This window comes from Homo sapiens, chromosome 16, assembly GCF_000001405.40.
Source record: "Homo sapiens chromosome 16, GRCh38.p14 Primary Assembly".
Lineage (NCBI taxonomy): Eukaryota > Metazoa > Chordata > Mammalia > Primates > Hominidae > Homo > Homo sapiens.
The window spans coordinates 17,417,040-17,439,845 of NC_000016.10; the positions used below are offsets into that span (position 1 = coordinate 17,417,040).

Below are 22,806 nucleotides of genomic sequence, written 5' to 3' on the forward strand. Positions count from 1 at the left end.
TATGGATAGCTTGCAAGTTTGAAGGCGTAACTTTGTAAGCTCAGTTTTGACCCTGGAGGAAGGAGGTCATGAGTAAGATAGGGACACCAAAAAGAAGTCAGGTGGTATGCTTTTTCCATTGACTCACAGTCATTTCCAGGAGAAAAGAAAACATCACTGTGCAAGGCTCTACTGACTCTCTTAATTTATCCTCACAACAGCCTCGTATAGTAAATATTATCCTATTTTACATGGGAGAAAAATGAAGTTTAGAAGCTTGGGAAATCTGGTCTTCATTATTTGGCTACTAACCCTTAGTTTCCATCACAATTCCCTCATTCTCTCAGCTCTAGTCTAGTCTGGATCCTTTTGCAGTCCTGCCCCAGGACCTTGGCACAGGTTGTTTCCTGTGCCTGGATTACTCTGACCTCCCTTCTTCACCTGGTTAACGCGACTTAACCTTCCCATTCCTGCTTGCTCATCTCCCAGAGCCTCCTCTGGGCTTTTTCCAGGCCAAACTACTCTAACAAAAGCTCTCTTAGCATCAAGACTGCTGCTTCTGCATCAGGACTCTTCAAAGTTACAATTTAACAAAGAAGCCGGCGTGTGCTAGTTCACCACCGTAGGCATATGCGTCAGATTCAAGATGGCTTCAAATTCTTTGACATGCCTTTATCGAAAGGTAGTGTCTTATTCCCCTCCTCTTGAAGCCAAGATGGCCTTACTGACTCAGCTGACCAATTGAATGCAGTGAAAGTGATGTTCTGGGAATTCTAAGCCTCAATGATAACATACATACCTTTGCAGCTCCTGCTGGACCTCTTAGAATATTTACTCTGGGGAAACTCCCTCTTGGAACCCAGCCACCATGTGGCAAGAAGCCCAAGACACACAGGATAGACCATGTCTGATGCAGCCAACAGCTCCAGCTGAGCTCCCCCCAACAACCCTCACCAACTGCCAGGCACGTGCATGAGACACCTTGAGCAACCACCACAGCCAAACCTTCAGATGATCACAGCCCACTCCATATGTGTCAGTAACATATGCAGAAATCCAAGAAAGAACCATCCAGCCACGTCTAGTCAGCCCACAAAACCTTGAGAGATGATACTAAAGCACTGTTTTAGTCATTACGTTAGAGAACTATTTGTTACACAGCAGTAGATGATCAGAACCCTGTAAGATCCAGCATAATGAACAGTTGTTCAGCTTGTACACACCTTAGGCAGCAGCTAGGACTAGATGCTTAATAAATATATTATTTATGGATTAGACAAAGAATGTAGTGTGTGAAAAGATTAAGGTGGAGGCTGGATTTATACCCGTTTATATAACTCCAAGTTCCTCCTCTCTTTTCTTTTTAACCATAGCCTAATGCTCCCTTAAAAACAATAAAACCATTTTATTTCCAGCCTATCATATTTGATGCAGGTTTGGGAGGAAGAATACAATATTCAGACAGAGCCATGTCACAACAAAATGGCAGCTTTGGTTGCTTGTCATGCCTGGAAAAAAGTTCAGAGTTAAAAAAAAAAGTAGCTTGAGGCTGGGTGTGGTAGCTTACACCTATAATCCTAGCACTTTTGGAGGCTAAGGTGGGTAGACTGCTTGAGCCTAGGAGTTTGAGACCAGCCTGGGCAATATGGCAAAACCCTGTCTCTACAAAAAATACAAAAATAAGCCATCCATGGTGGTGAATGCCTGTAGTCCCAGCTAGTTGGGAGTCTGAGGTGGGAGGCTCGCTTGAGACCTGGACATTGAGGCTGCAGAGAGCCATGATGGTACCACTGCACTCCAGCCTGGGTGACAGAGCAAGATCCTGTCTCAAAAAATAAATAAATAAATAAAAAGGCTGTTCTTATGTCATTACACTCATTGACAGCACAGGGGTCTCTATGCCCTCTCTGCAGTTATAGCATGAGCGCTGCTGTAGGCGATATCTAAATGAATGGGTATAGCTGTGTTCCAATAAAGCTTTATTTACAAAAACAGGCAGTGGGCCAGATTCGCCCAACCCTAGTACACAGCATAATACAGTGGTCTTTCAATTTAGCAGTAAGCACGCAGTATAGGGAAAAGTTAATCCACGGACCTCTTTTTCCTTCTGTAAATTGAAAGAGAGGGAGCCTGCTTCCTTTGATTTGAGTATGGAATGACCTTGGCTAGTTCGTGAAGCCATCCATGGTGGTGAATGCCTGTAGTCCCAGCTAGTCGGGAGTCTGAGGTGGAAGGCTCGCTTGAGACCTGGAGGTTGAGGCTGCAGAGAGCCAGGATGGTACCACTGCGCTCCAGCCTGGGCGACAGAGCAAGATCCTGTCTCAAAAACAAAAACAAAAAAAGATAGACTGCTCTTATGTCATTACACTCATTGACATAGCTCAGGGGTCTCTATGCCCTCTATGCAGTTATAGCATGAGCTATAGACAATAGGTAAATGAATGGGCATAGCTGTGTTCCAATAAAGCTTTATTTACAAAAACAGGCAGTGGGCCAGATTCGCCCATCCCTGGTACACAGCATAATACAGTGGCCTTTCAATTTAGCAGTAGCCACGCAGTTTGTAAACTCAATGAAACAGGCAATGCCTTTGACTGAAATGACTCTTGGTACTTTAATTTTGCATTTTAGACAACATCTTTCACTGCATTTTCACATGCTGAAATGGGTTCAGATTTCTAAAATATAAGAAAAAGTTACAGTAAAACAAAACAAAACAAAAAACACTTAATATAGGGAAAAGCTAATCCATGGACCTCTTTTTCCTTCTGTAAATTGAAAGAGAGGGAGCCTGCTTCCTTTGATTTGAGTATGGAATGACCTTGGCTAGTTCATGAAGGCAGGAACATTCCATGAGACAGGAGTTAGGAAACCACTGGGTCACTCATAGCAAGGATAATTTCCCCTCACTGGCCCTCAAAGAACTATTTGTTGATAAATAATGAATCCAAAATCTATTGGAAGGAGAGTAATCCACTCATTACTGTTAGTCCATTCAATAGGGCTCAATGACTGGGTGAAGTTTATTCAAAGCAGCAAAATATCATCTAATGGCTTGCTCTTTTGTCTTTGTAGGATCAAGCCTTTCATCTTAGAAAGTGCTACCCACGTTATCCAAAACTAGCAAAAATAATTTAATTAATGTGTATATAAGCCACAAGTGCCCAAATTATAGCTTGTGCCCAAACCCTAGGTAATGCTAGAGTTATACACATAATTTTTTAATTTCGTATTTTCAAGAAATGATAGACCCTATAAATTATATTTTTAAATGAGCCAGGAAGTAATGGCTAATGTTAATTCTTAGGCAACAGAAACGTGCTACGCTAATTATTATTAGCAATAATGGCTCAATGGGTAAAGAACTTCTGAACTCACAAAGCAATTTTTAAAAACTGTATTGCATTGTTTCATACCTAAAAGAGTCCCAGGGTTAGGTAATTTTTTTCATTTTATAGGTGAATAAAGGGAGACGCAGGGTAGGTACCTGCTCATAGTCATAGCTAAGTAGCCAGGACTCGGTTGCTATCCAAGGCTTCTTCTATCTGGAACACTTCAAGAGAACAAGGCAACTCCTCTCCAAATATAATTAATATGCAACCTCTCTTCCTATTATTCTTTGTGAAGTTTAGCACTATCCAAAAAAATGTACTAGGCTAATTATTCAGATTTTTTTTTGCGAAGGGTGCAAATGTTCTTTCTATTGAATGTGTGTGCATGTCATTTATTACACCATATTTTTAAAGGGAGACTAATGCCCAATAATGACCCCAGGGCTTAGCTTTGAAGAAAATTCCAACCAAAAACATCACCTTACTGTCTGAATCTGTCTCCATTTCAGCAACTGAATCTTTGTTGCTGGACTCAATAAAACACACTTCAGATTTCTAATGCTTGGATGGGAGATGAGTTGGTCCAAGCTAGATCCTCTTGTCTTTGGGCCCACACCAAACACCAAACACGAGTCAACCACTCTTGCACCACCACAGGTATGCATGTATTAATATCGGCTTCCCTTCTGCCACAGCTGTGACTTGTGTTGGGATTATTTCTACTCCGCCAGCTTGTTTACCTTATTAGAGTAACCTTACAGCTCAATCATTAGGACTCCATGGAGAAGCCATGGAAAATCAAGACTCAGACATATATTTCGATCTTAGGAGAACATGCCTGTGCTTTGTCTGTCATTATTCTTTTTATGGGATTCTAAGGCAGTCTAAGATAGGAGAATCACTACAAGGCTCCTGAAAAATCCCTGCCAATTAAGGAGTGACAGACTGCATTTTCCAAAGATGACCACAGCTATATTTCCTATCCCATATGCTCTTCTGCAAGGTGACTTTGCCACCCCCATCCCTTCAAGAGGTGGGACTTATTTTTCCCGTCCTTAGAATCTGGACAGGCCCTGTGACTGCTTTGAGCAACAGAATATGGCAGGAGTGATGCTGTGCCAGTTTTAAGTGTAGCCCTTAACTTTATGGCAGCTTCCACCTTCCTGCCTGCTGGAGGCCAGCCACCACATCAGAAGTGACACTACCCTGAGGCCATCCAGCTGTGAGACAATCAAGCCACAGGAAGATGCTTGATGCTACCTGGAGAGAAACAGACAGAGGGGTCAAGGAGGAACAAAGCACCAGACAGACGGACGATAAAGTCTTAGAAGTGGATCCTCCAGCCCCAGTGGACAACACATGGAGCCGAGACAAACCTCCCAGCAGAGCCCTTCCTAAGGTCCTGATCCACAAAATTAGGAACAAAACAAAATTAATGTTTTAAGCCACTCAGTTTTCAGATAGTTTATTATGGAATACCAGAGAACTGTTAACATTTTTTTTTCAAGACCGAGTCTCACTCAATCACCCAGGCCAGAATGCAGTGGTGCAATCTTGGCTCACTGCAGCCTTGAACTCCTGGGCTGAAGCAATGTTCCCACCTAAGCCTTCCAAGTAGTTAGGTCTACGTGTCTGGCTAGCTTTTTTTTTGAGACGGAGTCTTGCTTTGTCACCCAGGCTGGAGTGCAATGGCATGATCTCCACTCACCGGAAGCTCTGCCTCCCGGGTTCACGCCATTCTCCTGCCTCAGCCTCCCGAGTAGCTGGGACTACAGATGCCCACCACCACACCCGGCTAATTTTTTGTATTTTTAGTAGAGACGGGGTTTCACCATGATGTCTGGCTAACTTTTTAATCTTTGTAGAGGTGGGGTCTCGCTCTGTCACCCAGGCTGGAATGCAGTAACATGATCATAGATCACTACAGCCTCAACCTCCTGGGATCAAGTCATCCTCCCACCTTAGCCTCCTGAGTGGCTGCGACTACAGGTGTGTGCCACTATGCCCAGCTAATTTTTTAAAATTTTTCATAGAGATGAGGTTTTACTATGTTGCCCAAGCTGGTCTCAAACCCCTGGACTCAAGTGATCCTCCCACTTTGGTCTCTCAAAGTGCTAGGATTACAGGTATGCACCACTGTGCCTGGCCCACAAATTTTACTTTATTATTTTTTTTTGGAGACAGAGTCTTACTCTGTCACCCAGGCTGGAGTGCAGTAGTGCGATCTTGGCTCACTGCAGCCTCCGCCTCCTGGGTTCAAGCGATTCTCCTGTCAGCCTCCCAAGTAGCTGGCATTAAAGGCATGCAACACCACGCCTAACTAATTTTTGTATTTTTAGTAGAGACGGGGTTTCACCATGTTGGCAAGGCTGGTCTAGAACTCCTGACCTCCTGACTTCAGGTGATCCGCCCACCTCAGCCTCCCAAAGTACTGGGATTACAGGTGTGAGTCACCATGCCTGGCCTCACAGATATTTTTTATTGAAACACAAGTTAGATCTTCCTTGGGGTCACTGCAAATAGTTGTATGATTTGTGTACCGCAAAGTGGCAAATAGGGGCTGAAATCCAACCAGTGCTTTGCTCACCACGCCCTGCATCGGTGAGCTCTGGTCTTCTGCTAAGAGGCTGACTTTTTTAGCCCTGCAAAGTCCCCGTACAGACTAGCAGTACGTCGAAGCACAGTCATCCAAATGTGGGACCTTCAATAACGATGACTTAAGAATTTGACGGAACAATGTGATTATCGTTGCCAGAGGAGGTTTTTCTTCCCTGCTAATATCCTGGACACCTCGCTGGGCTTGCCAACTTTATCTGGTCCCTTCTTCCTCTGCCCCAAGATTCCACCCTTAAACTGGAGTAGGTGCTTTCACTGCCCAGTGGGGCCGCCCTTCTCGGCAGGCCTCCCCAGCAGCGCCTGATGTTTCATCTCATGTGAAATTGCCCCAAAACACAGGATCAGCTCTGCACTGGGCCATCACTGCCACTCCTCAGGGGCAGCTGAGTCTCCTCCCTGTGGCCTTCCAACAATGGCTGGCAGTAAGGCTCATTCAGAACCCATTAAGGCGATTGTTTTTTCCTCAAGGGCACTTCCTTGAGGGCTGAATACCAATCAGCCTGCGATACAAAGGAGGGGCCCCCTGTCATCCTTGGGACTGTGCAGTGGCTCTGTGGGGACAATCCCACGTGCTGTCCTCCCTACAACCTCACTCCCCTGGGCTTTTGTGCAGGAGTCAATATTGATTACTGTTATTTCTTTCTTTTTTCTCTTTTTTTTTTGAGACAGAGTCTCACTCTGTCACCAGGCTGGAGTGCATTGGTGCAATCTCAGTCTTAGCTCACTGCAACCTCTGCCTCCCAGGTTCAAGCGATTCTCCTGCTTCAGTCTCCTGAGTGGCTGGGACTACAGGTGCATGCCACCATGCCCAGCTAATTTTTGTATTTTTAGTAGAGACGGGGTTTTACCATGTTGGCCAGGATGGTCTCGATCCCTTGACCTGGTGATCTCCCTGCCTCGGCCTCCCAAAGGATTACTGTTATTTCATGAGATGACTACAGGCTCATCATGCCACAGCAGTGGTGACCCAGGAGCAATTCTCATAGTATAAGCAAGTCCTATAGCAAAATCCATGGGAACCTATAGGACCGTGGCCAAAGTCATCTCTGCCTCCCAAGAAGGGGCAGGAAGTCCTATTGGCCTCATCTAACCATTTATGCCTGTTCTTACAAGCTCTCAATCTGTCCATCCAACCCAGGAGACACTCGGTCATCATCCACCCTTTACTTCTTCTGAAAAGCTGATGCAAATAACTTGGGCTTTAAAACCCAAAAAGATCTGTGTCCCAATCCAGACTCTGCCACTTCTTAGCTGTGTGATGTTAAGTGACTGTCTAAACTTCTCTACTTCCTCACCTGTCAAATGAAAGCAAGGACACCTTCTAGCAAACCTGAGAGAACTGAACAAGATAAGGCCAAGTAGGCTACAAATGGCACCCACAAGTTATTCCATTCGGTTCATGAACAAACCTTTCATTACAAATTCCAATACTTATGTATTTATGCTGATGTATGAGAAGACGATAGGCTTCATGAAGACCATGATTTTATGGACATTATAGCTTAGGTTGAGCTAAGTAAAAAGTGAGTGGATGCAAAGAAAAATATGAAGTAAATAAACCATGACCGGGGAGTGTTATGTGGATGCTGTAGAAACACCAAGAAAATAAGATAGGTGGACACAGCCGGGTGCGGTGGCTCATGCCGTGATCCCAGCACTTTGGGAGGCCGAGGCAGGCGGATCACGAGGTCAGGAGTTACAGACCATCCTGGTCAACACGGTGAAACCCCGTCTTTACTAAAAATACAAAAAGTAGCTGGCTGTAGTGGTAGGTGCCTGTAATCCCAGCTACTCGGGAGGCTGAGGCAGGAGAATTGCTTGAACCCGGGAGGCAGAGGTTGCAGTCAGCTGAGATTGCACCACGGCACTCCAGCCTGGGTGACAGAGCAAGACTCCATCTCAAAAAAAAAAAAAAAAAAAAAAGATACGTGGACACACACCCCGACACTGTACCACATGGTAGGTACAGACATCACCACCACCTGGCACATTTTAGGTGCTGAATCAGCATCTGTTTCCCTCTCCTGTAACCTCCTGTGGCATCAGCCTCCACCCTTGAACTTGGCTCCAGCCTCATTAGGGTTTGGCCAAGCCTTAGAAGTTGGAGGTGGACTCCCTGCAGTCTTGGGGACGGTTCCCAACACCAGGGTGGTAAGGAGGAATGGTCTTTAGCTTTGCAGGTCATGATTTCCCTTGAAGCACCTCGTAAACAGCAGGGCTGGCCCACCTCAATAAAATTTTACTCAGCGCTTGCAATTCCCCCAACTTCCTTCCGTAGCCAGATGCTGCCCTTTGCTGTGTGCTTAACTCCCCACTGACAACTGATGGCATTTAGATGCATTGTAGGGTGAGACCCAGAAGGCTGCTCATTAACATCGTCTATATATTTTAAGAGCCAAGAAACCATTTTTCTTGGACCTACCAATTATATAGGACACCATGCAGCTCCCTTCCAAATGTCGACCCACTCTAGATAGTTGAGGCTAAATCAACCAAGAAGGTGTATTAGCTTTCACCAGACCCATGGACAAATAATTCTTCTTACACTTCTAGGTAGCAATGTAACATTTTGCTTCCCAGAAACCAAAGCTCACATTTAAACACATGGCACCCAAGCCCATATTTCAGGAAAGGCCCTTTGTTAATTGTTCATAGGAAAGTAATCCAATAGGGTCTCCAACTTCCTGCTGCTGTTCATTCCACCTGCTGCTACACCTGGGCTTATTTATTCCACCCTGAATGGTTTTCTTTCCCCCAGCACACAGCCAGGCTGGTTCCTGCCTCCGTGCCTTGCCCAGGCTGTTCCCTGAGTCCTGAATGCCCTTCCTGCTCCTTCCTGCCTACCAAATACCTTAAATACATCCTTCAAACTCAGCTCAGATGGCGCTCCCTCCAAGAAGCCACCTGTAACTTCCAGAAAGTTAATGTCCCGCCACCCTGTGCCACTTCCTACCTCGTTTAGCACGTCATGTGGTACCATGACCACTTCCATGTCTATACGTGTATTTTGCCACGAGATCTGTTCCCAATGTTTTGTAAGGAACAAAGTAAGTGAGCAATGCATGTCTGGAGAATGAATAAATTCAGGAATCCCATTAATGACAGTATCTATCTGTTTAACAAATATTCATGGAGCACATACTAAGTGCTAGGGACTGAGGATACCACATTAAAGAAGAAGAAAGGACAGATTCCTGTCCTCATGGGGTTTATGTTCTAGATACGGGGAGAAAAAGTTACATACAAATAAACAAGATTATTTTAGATAGTGATAAATTTATGACAACAATAAAACAAGGCAATAGCATTACGGCCGGGCACGGTGGCTCATACCTGTAATCCCACCACTTTGGGAGGCCGAGGCAGATGGATCACCTGAGGTCAGGAGTTCAAGACCAGCCTGGCCAACATGGTGACACCCTGACTCTACTAAAAATACAAAAAGTAGCCAGGCGTGGTGGTCCAGCTACTCAGGAGGCTGAGGCATGAGAACTGCTTGAACCCGGGAGGCAGAGGTTGCAGTGAGCTGAGATCTCACCACTGCACTCTAGCCTGGGAAAAAGTGTGAGTGAGACTCCATCTCAAAAAATAAATAAATAAACAAAACAAGGCAATAGCATAGAGCAGAGATTAGCAAACTTTGACCAGTGAGTCAGATCCAGTCTACCACCTGTTTCTGTAAATAAAGTTTTATTGACACATAGACACGCCCACTAAGTTATTGCCTCTGACTGCTTTTGCCCAACAATGGCAGAGCTGAGTAGGTTTAACAGAGACCCTATGGCCCATAAGCCTACAATATTTCCTGTCTGGCCCTTTACAGAAAACATTCACAGACCTCTCATATGACTAAGGAGAGAGGAAAAACTTTAAGTAGGGTGAAAAGGGAAGGCCACTGTAAAAAGATGACATTTGAGTGAAGACCAGAATACTAAGAAGGTGTCAGCCATGCAAAAATATAGGGTAAAGCATCCCAGATAGAAGAAGGAACAAGTGCAAGGGCCCTGAGGCAGGATAGAGACAGAGAAAGGAGAGTGTGGCTTGGGAGTAATTAGGTGGTGAATGATACAAAATCAGGCATCATGGTAGGCAGAGCCCATGTGATGGGGAATCTCACAAGCTGTGGAAAGGGCTTCCTGCTAACACTCATGAATAATTCTGAAAGGCAGCGAAGGTATCTGGGATTTGGGCAGCAAGTGGTGAAATCGTGTCCACGGAAGAGAAGGGACGATAGCACCACCATCATGAATGAGGAAGTCTAAAATGTTGACGCTTGGCTCAAGACTTCTTTGCCACCACGAACAACATCTCCAAGTCAAGCTCTGCCTTTTGTTGTTGTTTGGTTTTTCTGAGACAGAGTCTGGCTCTGCCACCTAGGCTGGTGTGCAGTGGTGCGATCTCGCCTCACGGCAGCCTCCCAGGCTTAAGCAATCTTCCCACCTCAGCCTCCTGAGTAGCTGGGACTACAAGTGTGCACCGCCGCACCTGGCTGATTTCTTATTTTTTGTAGAGACAGACCCTCACTGTGTTCTCCTTGCTGGTCTCAAACTCAAGTGATCCTCCCATCTTGGCCTCCCAAAGCGCTGGGATTACAGGCGTGAACCATCACTCCCAGCTTCAAGTTCTGCTTTTCAAATGCGTCACCCCACATCCCCAACACAAGGTTGCCCAAATGTGCACAGAAGATGCTTCTACAACAGCTGAATCAGCATCCACATGTATCCTACCCACACTCTTTTTTGTATTTAAAAGACTCACTGTTTCTTCTCTTACATTCGTGTTTTAAAAGGAACCATTAGTTCACTTTAAAATCACAGGTTTAATAAGCCAGCTACATACATTTCACTTAAATACAAAAAGGTTTTTTTTTTTTTAAAACGTTCACCTGTCTACCACCTCAAATCATCTCAGCCACACTCTGGGAAACAATTGTTTAGAGTTCAAACCTATAGGAACCTCATTAATTTCAATCCACACCTAACTTCTGACAGTACTACCGGAGAGGCGGGGGTTTGGAGGACCTTTTTATTTTTTATTTTTTTGAGACAGCGTCTCACTCTGTCGCCCAGGCTGAAGTGCAGTGGTGTGATTTCGGCTCACTGCAACCTCTGCCTCCCAGGTTCAAGCGATTCTCACCCTCCTGAGTAGCTGGGATTACAGGCACACACCATCACGCACAGCTAGTTTTTGTATTTTTACTAGAGCCAGAGGTTCGCCATGTTGGCCAGGCTGGTCTTGAACTCCTGGCCTCAGATGATCTGCCCGCCTCAGCCTCCCAAAGTGCTGGGATTAAAGGCATGAGCCACTGCACCAGGACTGGAGTAGCTTTTGACCAGGACAGTGAGGACAGAGGACAGCTTGAGGGTGCAGCACAAGCTCTGGCGGCAGAGCTTACACCTGACCCTGTCACTTTCCAGCTGTGTGCTCTTGACCATGTTAAATCTGAGAGCCTCAGACTCCTGTCTATAAAATGAGCCAGGCTGAGGGGCTGTTGAGAGAATTAAGAGATGCACCTGACTTGGCCCAGGACCTGACCCATGCTAGATGCTCAATAAATGGTCACAGCTCTGATTACAAATGCATAATTATTTACAGTCATAATGATGATCATCAAAAGTCCTTTGGTCTCTCCAAAAGTGCTAAAAGCATCTCTTGTCATCAATGTGTCTGAGCTTTTGAGACATCTGTAGCCGCAGCCCACTCACCAACTGACATCCCCTTGCCGCCAGGGGTTTCGGGAAGCTTTCGGCCGTGTGGTAGTTTTCCACTGGGTTCACCAAACTAGGTCTCTTTTTTCTTGCTTTCCTTTTATTTTTTGTTTCCAAAAGGTTCCTGATTAACAATCTTTCAGAGAGGGAGGAGGAAAGAAATTACAGCAAATGTTCCTTTACTCTGGTCCCTGCTGGGCTGGGAGGCTGCTATTTCAGACTCAATCAGCTACCTGCAGGGTCAATGGATGAAATGCCTCCCCATAGGGATCAGGAGGATGCAGGGCCATTGGGAAGCTTCCACAGGGACCTGTGGCCTAAAAACCCCAACTGCTCAAAAGACTCAGGGACCTCAAACCTAAAGGGGATGGGAGCCCAATTTCTTTAAGAAGCACCCGTCTTTGAAAAGCAGCATTTCTCACTCTACCTCTGCAGGGGGAAAGGAGCAACATACATCCCCTGAAAGTAATTACCTTCAAGTTGTGAGGATCAAACGCCATCCTTAACTGGAGATAATCCGAAATTCACTTTGAAACCCCCTCTGTCCAAGCAGGCTTAAGTCTCTAACTGCTTAATTCAAGAAATCATTAAAAATGGTCTTTCTTTCCTTGCCACAAACAGAGTAAGGTAAGAGAAAGACAGCCAAGAAACCTGTTGAACTGCTGATGAGAAATGCGACAGCAATAAAATCACTGGCCCAAAATAATTCTGCCGCAGGTTAACTCAACGGCAAGTATGTTGCTCTCACCTCCAAGGATGGCGAATTCTTAAGTTCTTTTGTTCCAATCACCATCTTCCAGAAATGGCTACATTAAGTTGTAGGGCCTCATGTCAAACAAAAGTGGCAGCGAGGATGGTTACTTCTGTGTGTTAACTTGATTGGGCCACGGGGTGCCCAAATTAAACATGACTTCTGGGTGCATCTGTGAAGGTGTTTCTGGACGAGATTAACATTTGAACTGGTGAACTCAGTAAAGTACATGGCCCTTTCCAATGTGGGTGGTTATCAGCCAGTAGATGGAGGGCCCACAAAGAGGGAGAGAAAGAAATTTATTTTTCTTGCATTACTGCGTGAGCTGAGACATCCATCTCACCTTCTCCAGCTCAGACCGGGATTTACATTATTGGCTCCCTTGATTCTCAGACCCTTGGCCTGGGACTGGATTTCATGACCAGCTTTCCTGGGTCTCCAGCTTGCAGAGAGTAGCTGCAGGGACTTCCCAAACTCCATAATCATGGGAGCCAATTCCCATAATAATTTTTTTTTTTTTTTTTTTTTTGAGACAGAGTCTTGCTCGGTCGCCCAGGCTGGAGTGCAGTGGTGTGATCTTGGCTCACTGCAACCTCTGCCTCCCAGGTTCAAGTGATTCTCCTGCCTCAGCCCCCCAAGTAGCTGGGATTACAGGTGCCCACCACCGCGCTCAGCTAATTTTTGTATTTTTAGTAGAGACTGGGTTTCACCATGTTGGCCAGGCTGGTCTTGAACTCCTGACCTCAAGTGATCTGCCCACTTCAGCCTCCCAAAGTGCTGGGATTATAATACACAGGTTGAGCATCCCTAACCCAATCATCTGAAATGCTCCAGAATCTAGAACGTTTTGAGTACCACCATGATGCTCAAATGAAACGCTCACTGGAACATTTTGGATTTCAGAATTTCAGATTACGGGTGCTCAACCAGTAAGTATAACACAAAATATCCCAAATCTGAAAAGATCCAGAATGCACAAAGATTCTGGTCCCAAGCACTTTGGTTAAGAGACACTCAGCCTGTACATGGTTCTGTTTCCCTGGAGAACCAAACTAATACAGGTGCCTTGTTCAAAAATTATAAATTTCAAGATGGCGGCAGCAGAACATTAAACCAAGTGCAGGCCCATTCCTGGAGGGGCCCCCAGTCTTGCCTGCTTCCCTTTCCAGGGTGCCTCTCATGGCTCCTCTCCCTGTATTTTCCCAACCTAACCAGACCCTATGATCTGACAAAGGAATTCTTTTTTTCCCCACCCTAATTTGTGAATGTTTACATATGGTCTTCCAGATTCACAATCCATGAACCCCCTTGCTTGCAAAAAATAAAATGACATAAAAACAGAGCTAACCAGCCACCTCAGGGATCCTCAAAACCTTTTAGTTTGTAGACCAGAACCTGAAGCCTGAGCTTCTTTTAATTTTCATTATCTCATTCTAAGAGATAGTATCTAAAGTAAACTGGGGCTGAACAGCACTCATAACTTAGCTGAAAAAAGAAATGTAGAATGACCCAAAATGTATAATAAATGCAAAATGAGAAAAGCTAAACATGAAAAAGCTAGTAATTTAAAATATGTATAAGTAAATAAAAATAAAACCATCTCCAGAGCAGAGGTGGGCAAGCATTTTCTGTAAAGATCCAGGAATACACATTTTTGGCTCTGCAGCCCATAAAGTCTCTGTGGCAGCTACTCAGCTCTGCAGTGGAATGCTGAGTAGCCACAAAAAACAACACATACACGAGTGGGCGTGGCTGTGTTCCAATAAAGCTTTATTTATATAAACACTGAGCTGACTGGATGTGTCCTTCAAGGCCTTATTTTGCTGACCTATGGCTTAGAGCGGCGCTTCTCAAACTTCACGTGCACATCTATCGCCTGGGAATCTTGTGAAAATGCAAATTCTGACTCAGAAGGTCGGGAGTGGGGCTTGAGATTCTGCATTCCTAACAAGTCCCCAGGGGATGCTGAGGCTGCGTGTCCAAGGACCCCACTTTGAGAAGCAAAAGAGCACCCCCAGAAAAGAAAAGAAGGAAAACCTACTAAAGAACCCAAATTTAAGAAGCACTTAGCAGAACACAGTATAGAAAAGTAATTTATTTTCTCATCACCAAGGAACAGAGTTATGCAATTTAAGTGTATCTTCAGAAGGGGAATACCATGTCATTGGTGATCAAGGATGGAGTTAACTATCATTATCAGAAAGCAAAATGCTACACCGTTTTTAACCACCGCTGTGCATTTTCTGGTGGCAGTTAACACGGACATATAGCGATCAATGCAGGTAAACGAATCCATTCGAAGGCAGGCCATGGATGGTAAATCACGTTGTCCAATAAAGTTGCTAAATTAGCAACAGCGTGACACAGAGCATTTTTTATAAAAGCGAATCCTTTTTGGAAGGAGATGGACTGCAGGGGTGTGTGGCTAGCAAGACTGGAGGGTGGAAGGGAGAAGCAGCCATGGCTGCGGATCCTTCTGGGGTCTGGAAGCTCTGAATTTTGCTGGGGGATATAATGTGAAACCGGTGTGGAGGCTTTTCCTGTGTGTTATCAAGGCCCCAGTGAGGGTCTGTTGCCCACAGGCAGATACCAATGGTTGTATTTCACACACAGCGGTATTTAATAAACCTCTTCACCATCCAGTTTATAAGAAGATAAAAAAAAAATGGCTGGTTCCACTCAAACACTGCTGGCAGGAATGCAGAATGGCACAGCCACTTTGGAAGACACTTCAACGATTTCTTAAAAAGTTAAATATAAATTTGCCATGTGACCCAGGAATCCTGCTCCCAGGAATCTACCCAAGAGAAATGAAAACATATGTCCACACCCAGACTTCTATGCAAATGCTCATAGCAGCGTTATTCACAACAGCCCCAAAAGCAGAAAAAACCCAGTGTCCATCAGCCAGTGAATTAGTAAATAACATGCCGTATATCCTTACAGTGGAATACTATTCAGCAATATACGACTACACATATAGACCTCAAAAACATCACGTGATAGCCAGTGCAAAAACCACATACTGCATGCTTCCATTTATATAAAATATCCAGAATAGGCAGATCTATAGAGACAGCAGATTAGCGGGTGCCTGGAAATGGACTCCGATTGGCATAAGGAGTCTTATCAGGGTTATGAAAATGTCCTAAAACTAGATTATGGTGTTGGTTGCACAGCTCAGTAAGTTTACTAAAAATTATTGCATAGAACCCTTGAAATGTGTAAATTTTACAGTATGTAAATCACATCTCAATAAAGTTGTTTAAAAAAATGGTTCCCATTATATCTTTCCCTTTTTCATCGCTCACCTCTCTAGTCCTTAAATAACATAGAGATCCTGTAGACTGCAATAAACCCAAAGACACGCTGGTTGTTCTAGAGGAGGCTAAAGCAAGTCTTCCGACCCAAGCAGATACGCTGGAGATGGCACATCAATTGTCTTGTCAAAAGAGGAAAAAAAAACACGCAAGGGCCACGTATTTGATTTTTACAGTGAACGATGAATTCATCTGTGGTCAGAGCATCACTCGGGCAGAGACGGGCAGTGCCCTCGAAGATGCCTCCAAACCCACAGCCTCCAATCCCAACCCAATCCCAGCCCAGGAGCTTCCAAAGACCTAAGCCCTGAGGAGAATGGGAATCAGGAGTGACGGTAATGATGACAAAGGCTCAGCCCATCAGCTGTGTTAGAAAAAAAAAGGAAGAGAAAACTTGCTAAGTGGAGAGCCAAATTCACCTCGCCCCACATGCAGCCACGCCCAAAACTCCCATGCCCACCCAACAAGCCATGTCTTTTGAACCATGCTATCACCCCGAAAAGTGACTCTTTTGAGGTCACACTCTGATGGCAGAAAAAACTCCCATGTGCTTGGAAGGAAATGAAAACTCTAGTGATATACCTTTGGCTTGCCTCCAGATGGAGAAAGAAAATCTTAAGAAATGTTGAGCTATTGCAACATCCCCTTTTTGGGAAAAACAATATTTCCAGCAGATGGGAGAATCATAAAAAGTAAGGAAGCACGGTCGGGAAGGGTTGCCTAGAATGATCCACAGTGTCTGCAGTGGCCATCTTCCCCCAGCCCACTTCAGAATCCACAAACACGCATGATGGTAGCAGCCAGCTCAGGGTCAAAGACAGAACTTGGGGCTAGAAACTAGGACTTGGGATGGCCCACAAGTGGGTCCAGCCATGACCCTGGTCATCTGGGTGCTGGGTAGTTGAGCCTACCAGGTACAGAAGGAACCCCGCCGAGGAGGCTTTGGGGTCTGAAGAATGGAATTTGGGCTCCAGCGAGGGACTTAACAGCATTTCCTCTATAGCCTCAAAGGTATTTGAATCAGGAACACTAGCTTCACAGCCAGAGGCCTGATAATCTCCTTCTCCCCTTTCATTGAAAAAGAAAATATCTAAGATACTGGAGAATACAGTAAAATCCTTAACTCTGTTCCCCCACCCCCGCTTTTTTTTCCTTCATTCCTAGCGGCAAGGCTGGATAAGCTTATCAAGAGCAGGCAAACTACATCTTAGCTCTGATCCTTTCGAGAAATCCATTTGGCGCCTTTAACGTTTCATTTGGCAGATTGAATTTCGGGCATGTATTTATGGGACTGGGTTTGCCCTTAATAGAGTATTGCATAAATCCCATTACAGTATCCACTTCAGTGTGTTTGGGGTTTTCTAAGCCAGGGCTTTATCTAAGTGGACAGCATGGGAATGACCCACTCTGGCTCAGAAACTCCCGCCTCTGCCCTGGAACCAACCTTTGCAGATTGCCTCCATCATCATCAATGTCAAATGATGTTTTGGGAAAAGTTCTGGGAAGGGTCAGAATGAAGCATGTCCCATCCACAAAGAAGGTGGTGACAAGCGTGTCATCACCTGCTAGTAAATTACAGGATTTCCTTCCAGGAACCACCTCGCTCCACATCCCTCTTCCTTCTGGCAACAGCCAGAGAAAGTCTGTTATCCACACAATGCCTTTCTGTCTTTCGTAAGTATGCAATGATGAAGATGCATTACTTGTCATTTCTGAAAACAAAACAATTATTAAGAAAAGTGAGCTATAAACAAAACAGATCAGGCTTAGCAACCCTGAATAAGCCAGTTCTCTGTAACCCTCAAGTTAATCATTTAAAAAAACAATGGGGCCAGGCACAATGGCTCATGCCTGTAATCCCAAAACTTGGGGAGGCCAAGGCAGAAGGATCACTTGAGGCCAGGAGTTCGAGACCAGCCTGGGTAACATAGCAAGACCCCATTTCTACAAAAATAATACTGATAATTACAAAATTAGCCAGGTGTGGTAGCACACATCTGTAGCCCCAGCTACTTGGGAGGCTGATGTGGGAGGGTCTCTTCAGTTCAGGAGTTCAGGGCTATAGTGAGCTATGACTGCACCACTGCACTCTAGCTTGGGCAACAGAGCGAGACCCTGTCTCTAAGAAAAAAAAAAAAAGAAGAAGAAGAAGAATGGAATTAGCAATCCCAACAACACAGGTGTGGAGTTTTAATGCAGATGAAAGAAGAAAGCATGCTTAGCTCACAGGAGGTGCTCAGTGACGCTTGGCCCATGCACTCATGGCACACACCTTAGTTCATCTTTCCTAGCTGGCTCTTTCTTGGCAGGGCTGGACAGGCCACTTACTTCCCAGGCAACAAGGCAGAGATGCCTGTAAGATGCCTTCTGCGTACATGGTTCAGGTCCGGCGTGGCACGCACCATATGCAAGAGTCAGGGGTTACACCAGGCTGAAGTGTCAGTACATTAAGAACCATTTCCTTCCTCCTGGGATCTGTCCTGGAAGCACGCACAGAACTCTCCATTCACTGACTTTTCACATAAATAGACTCCAAAGCAGAAATGCATGGAAAGGGGCTGACAGCGGGCCTCAGAGCCCCACATAAAGCTAAAGGAAAGCCATTTGGCCTTCTGGAACCTTCTTTTACCAAGGCACACTGTCCCCTCACCCCCTACAAGAACCCAGCAATCCATTATCTGGTCACTTTCTTCTACGACACAAGCAAGTTTTTAAAAAAGGCAACGGCAGCTGCAGTAAACGAAGAAGTGTACGTGATGAGGGCCCTTTGGGCTATTTCAGGCTCTGTCCCTGCCTGAAGGTGGCTGTGGGTTTGGTTACATCTAAGTTGGGCCTCAGAGCTTGTGAAGGTAAATGCTTCCTGATGAGAAGGAAAAAAAAAAGTCTAAGGAGTCTTCATTGATTCAACCGACATCTACAAAGTTCCTACTATGTGCCAGGCTCCAGCAGGTGGCCAAAGGGAACCTGGTATACTAAAGACCTGGTGCCCTCTCTCCAGGGCTGAATCCTCCAAGGATTCTCTCATTGACTTTATTTTCATCTTACATCACCCGTGAGCAGCTGGGGTAGATGTTGTGCAGTTACTGAAGAATTTGTATGTACTATAGGAGGCATGAAGAATGCATGACTTTATTTACTTCCAACTAAAGGCAGGAAGTAGTAGTAATGTCTCCACTGATATGGTTTGGCTGTGTCCCCACCCAAATCTCACCTTGAATTGTAATAATCCCCACATGCCAAGGGCGGGGCCAGGTGGAGATAACTGAATCATGGGGGCCGTTTCCCCCATCCTGTTCTCATGGTAGGGAATAAGTCTCATGAGATCTGATGGTTTAATAAATGGGAGTTCCCCTGCACATGCTCTCTTACCTGCCATCAAGTAAGACATGACTTTGCTCCTCGTTCGCCTTCTGCCATGATTGTGCGGCCTCCCCAGCCATGTTAGAACTTCGAGTCAATTAAATCTCTTTCCTTTATAAATTACTCAGTCTCGGGTATGTCTTTATTAGCAGTGTGAGAAAAGACAATTACACGGTCTAAGAGATGAGCATGTCAAGGCCCAGAGAGATGAAGTGACTTGCCCAAGGTCATACAGACAGGAAGGGGTAAAGGGATTTGAACCAAGGCTGTCTGGCTCCAGAGTCCCCACTCATTGCCATGATATCGCCTTGCTTTCAGGAGTTTGCTGTGGTCTGATCTCAGCACTACCACCGTGGCTGGCACATAGTAGGGGCGTGGATGGCACATAGTATGGGCCCAGGCAGCATTGGTGAAACTGAATTTGATCATCTTATTTAAAGCTACTGCAATCACATTCAGCTTTTAAGCTACGGGTTGGGAACGAGGTCATTCTATAAAAATGGAAAGCAGAAATTTACCCTGAGGAATTTTTTAGAGTTAGGGATAGAAGTCCAAAAGGGAATCTACTTCAAATGACCAGAGAGCTAAGACATGACCTCAATACAATATGATTAAATGAGATGCAGTGGAGAATTACATAACAGTTCAGAAACACAATTTACATCTCCACTGGTGCTTTCCTTTTTATTAAACTAGCATTTCTGTTACGCTGACAATACAGAAGAGCAAGGTCTTCTGGAACTGTTTGGCTTACACAGGCGTGAGAGAAGTGAAGACTTATTCCATTCACTGGGTAACATATGGGTTTCCCAGAGAGAAAGTCCACACAGCCATGCATGTGAAATGGGTGATGATAACAATAGTAATTGCTGACCCTCTTGAGTCCTTCCTGGGGGCCAGACCTGTGCGAAATGATCCACCTGCATTAGCTCATTGAATCCTCATGAGAACCTTCTGTGGCAGGTAAACAGTATGGGTCCCATTTTACAGATCCGAAAACTGAGTGAAGCCGAGCTCTAAACTCAGGCCATCTGTCTGAGGCTCTCAGTCCTTAGACTACATTTGGAACACTTTACTCAAAGAACACCAATTATGATAAGGAAAAAAGAAAAAAAACGATGCTTGCCAAAATCCAGACATCTCAGACATGAAGGCAAGAGATCCGGAACCATCTGGGCCCGTGTAGGGTACAAGCTGCCGGCTTCCCACTTTAATACCATTCCCTTGGGCTAAACTCCCACATGTGGCCACAGAAACCCACTTTTCAAACCCGGCATCCTCCGCCTCCAATCGTATTTGGCTCCACAGAAGCCAAGAAGGCATTTGGGGACAAGCAATCTTTATCTGTACCAAATGTTTATTGGAGCCACTCCAGGAAATGGTCCCACGTGAAGCCAATGTGCACGATGTCACCCACATCTGCTTGGAATGCACTTGTATCTACATTGCAATGCTCAGAGTTACATGTCTCTTGAAACGCCACCCTGCACAGCTATCACCTGGTCCAACAAGAATAACAGCCTACTGTTCGTGGAGCGGTTGTTTAGATAAAGAGAAGAGAGGGAAGGAGGAATCAGATCGCTCCTTCAAAATACCTCTCCCCATGCACCAATTACAGAAAATTGTTCTGGGAGGCAGGAGGAGCTCTCCAAAGTGTTTAGGAACACAAATCTGGCAAGTTTAAAAAATACAGTGAAGTTCACTTTCCTGAACTCCAGCATCATGTCCTCAAAGCTAAATCATACTGAGCAGTATTTGCAGCAAAGAGGCTGAATACTGGTTGCCGCACGGTGCAGTCAGCCTTTCTGGACGGGATCATACATACTTACCAACAGAATTCTTGAGGTTTGCAGAGGAACCAAAATTACAAACTATCAGAAGAAGAAAAACCCTCACATCAAATGCGAATGGAACATTCAGGAAGAGAGAAAGGATTAAAGAAATGGAAAAGACGAAAACCTTTCCCACTGGGTAGAAGGAAGGAGCACTGGTTTCCAAAACCACTAAGGGGCCCTTAATGGCCAGAGAGGGAGAATATTTAAAAAGGTCTGCAATTCTAGAATTTCCCCACAGATGAGATCAGGCATCTGTGAGACGAACCTAATCGCAGAGGAAAACAGGAAGAAGATGATGATGTTAATAGCGCTCTCCCCTAACTTTGGTTTGGTGGCTGACCCAACCCATAGCATTTTTATAGCCATTATTTCATTCAATATGGTAATTGTGAAGGTAAGAGATAGCATGAATGACCACTACTCTTGTACTTCACCAAAAAAGCCTATTGTATGGGACACTGATGTCCTCATTGGGGCAACTATGGCCAAGGTAAATGTTAAGTGGAGGCCAGATTAAACATACGCTACGTAAGAGTGGAGGACTGTCAGATACTTGACTATATGTAAGGTAGACACTGATAGCATGGGTGCCTGAATCAGACTACCAGCGTTCACATCTGTATCAGTTCATTCCCGCATCCCTAGAAAGAACAACTTGAGACTGGATAATTTATGAAGAAAAGAGATTTAATTGACTCAGTTCCACAGGCTGTACAGGACGCATGGCTAGGAGGCTTCAGAAGACTTACAATCATGGCAGAAGGTGAAGGGGAAGCAAGCATATGGTGGCAGGAGAGAGAGAGTGAAGGGGGAGGTGCTACACACTTCGAAACCATCAGATCTCATGAGAACTCACTCATTATCACGAGAACAGTAAGGGGAAAGTCCGCCCCCATGATCCAATCACCTCCCACCAGGCCCCTCCCTCAACACTGGGAATTACAATTCAACATGAGATTTGGGTGGGGACACAGAGCCAAACCATATCAGCATCCAAGCTCAACAGCTCACTTACTAGGTGATCTTGTATGAGTCAGTACACCTCCATGTCTGTTTTCTCATTTATAAATTAGATCTGATCATTGAAATTAAAGAGTTGTCATAAGGATGAGTGCAATACAGAAATATTGGTAAATTCTGGTAAATACAGAAATTTAAGCTGTTATCAAATCATTGTCATCATCATAGTGGCTAAAAGTTAGTGAAGCAATGATTTAGATCAAGTATGGCAGGCACATGGCATACGTGGCACAATTTCTTCCTCCTGCATCCATGGTGGACATGGCTAGTTGATTGCAGAACTTTGCCTTTAAACTCAGATGCAGCCTCAGAATTGGTCACACAGAGTTCCAGTTATCCCCAAACAAAGTTGACGGACAGATGGGTGAAAGATTTTTTGCTACCCTCTAGAACCTCATCAGAAACCAGATAAAACCAGCCGCTCCCAGAGAAACAGTCACTTCTTGTTGGATAGTGGAAAAGAGCGGCTCCCTAAATTACAGTCATCCTTCCAAAGACCGACATAATTTTGCCATATCTGCATGTATTGTGTGCTATTATTTATGCAATGTTTATTTGAATATATTTAAAAGAGAAACTTATACCTGCATCCCAAATGAAAAATGAGTTGACACAAGCCCTAAACAGAAGATAATGTGAAAAGAAAGAAAAGAAAGGAGGAATGGTACTGTTGTAATCCGGCTAGAAAACACTGTAGTAGTAGGTTCTGAATGTCTGCTTTCCATTGTTAAAAAGGGAAACTGACAAGTTTTAGAAAGGTGATAAAGATGTGCTAACAACAAACCGAGACTTCCTCTTTGACTCAACCACTTCCTATAAGATTCAATGTCATTTAAATTGTGCCAAGGTACCTGTAGTAGGCAGCTCCTAAGATGGCCCCAAGGA

The 22,806-nt window shown here is 44.8% G+C and overlaps 1 protein-coding gene and 1 long non-coding RNA gene across 4 annotated transcripts in view, besides 2 other annotated features; both read right to left on the bottom strand.

Annotated features, from left to right (window-relative positions):
- The window catches only part of XYLT1 (xylosyltransferase 1), a 369,192-nt gene that overhangs the window by 315,271 nt on the left and 31,115 nt on the right, over positions 1-22,806 (bottom strand). The window lies entirely within an intron of this gene.
- Positions 1,942-7,623, bottom strand: LOC124903654 (uncharacterized). The gene is made up of 2 exons (XR_007065008.1): positions 2,736-7,623; positions 1,942-2,074 (listed from the first exon to the last, which is right to left on the bottom strand). It is a non-coding gene; the product is annotated as an uncharacterized LOC124903654 (long non-coding RNA).
- Positions 6,000-6,736: an enhancer, noted in NCBI's record as "OCT4-NANOG-H3K27ac-H3K4me1 hESC enhancer chr16:17516896-17517632 (GRCh37/hg19 assembly coordinates)". NCBI's record gives its function as "activates a minimal SCP1, AML or CMV promoter by ChIP-STARR-seq in naive and primed H9 embryonic stem cells {active_cell/tissue: H9 hESC(naive and primed)}" and the evidence as "EXISTENCE:reporter gene assay evidence [ECO:0000049][PMID:30033119]".
- Positions 12,713-12,876: a silencer, noted in NCBI's record as "fragment chr16:17523609-17523772 (GRCh37/hg19 assembly coordinates)". NCBI's record gives its function as "represses an EF-1alpha promoter that drives an FKBP-Casp9 reporter gene in an ReSE screen in phorbol 12-myristate 13-acetate-treated (for megakaryocytic differentiation) K562 erythroleukemia cells {active_cell/tissue: K562(+PMA)}" and the evidence as "EXISTENCE:reporter gene assay evidence [ECO:0000049][PMID:32094911]".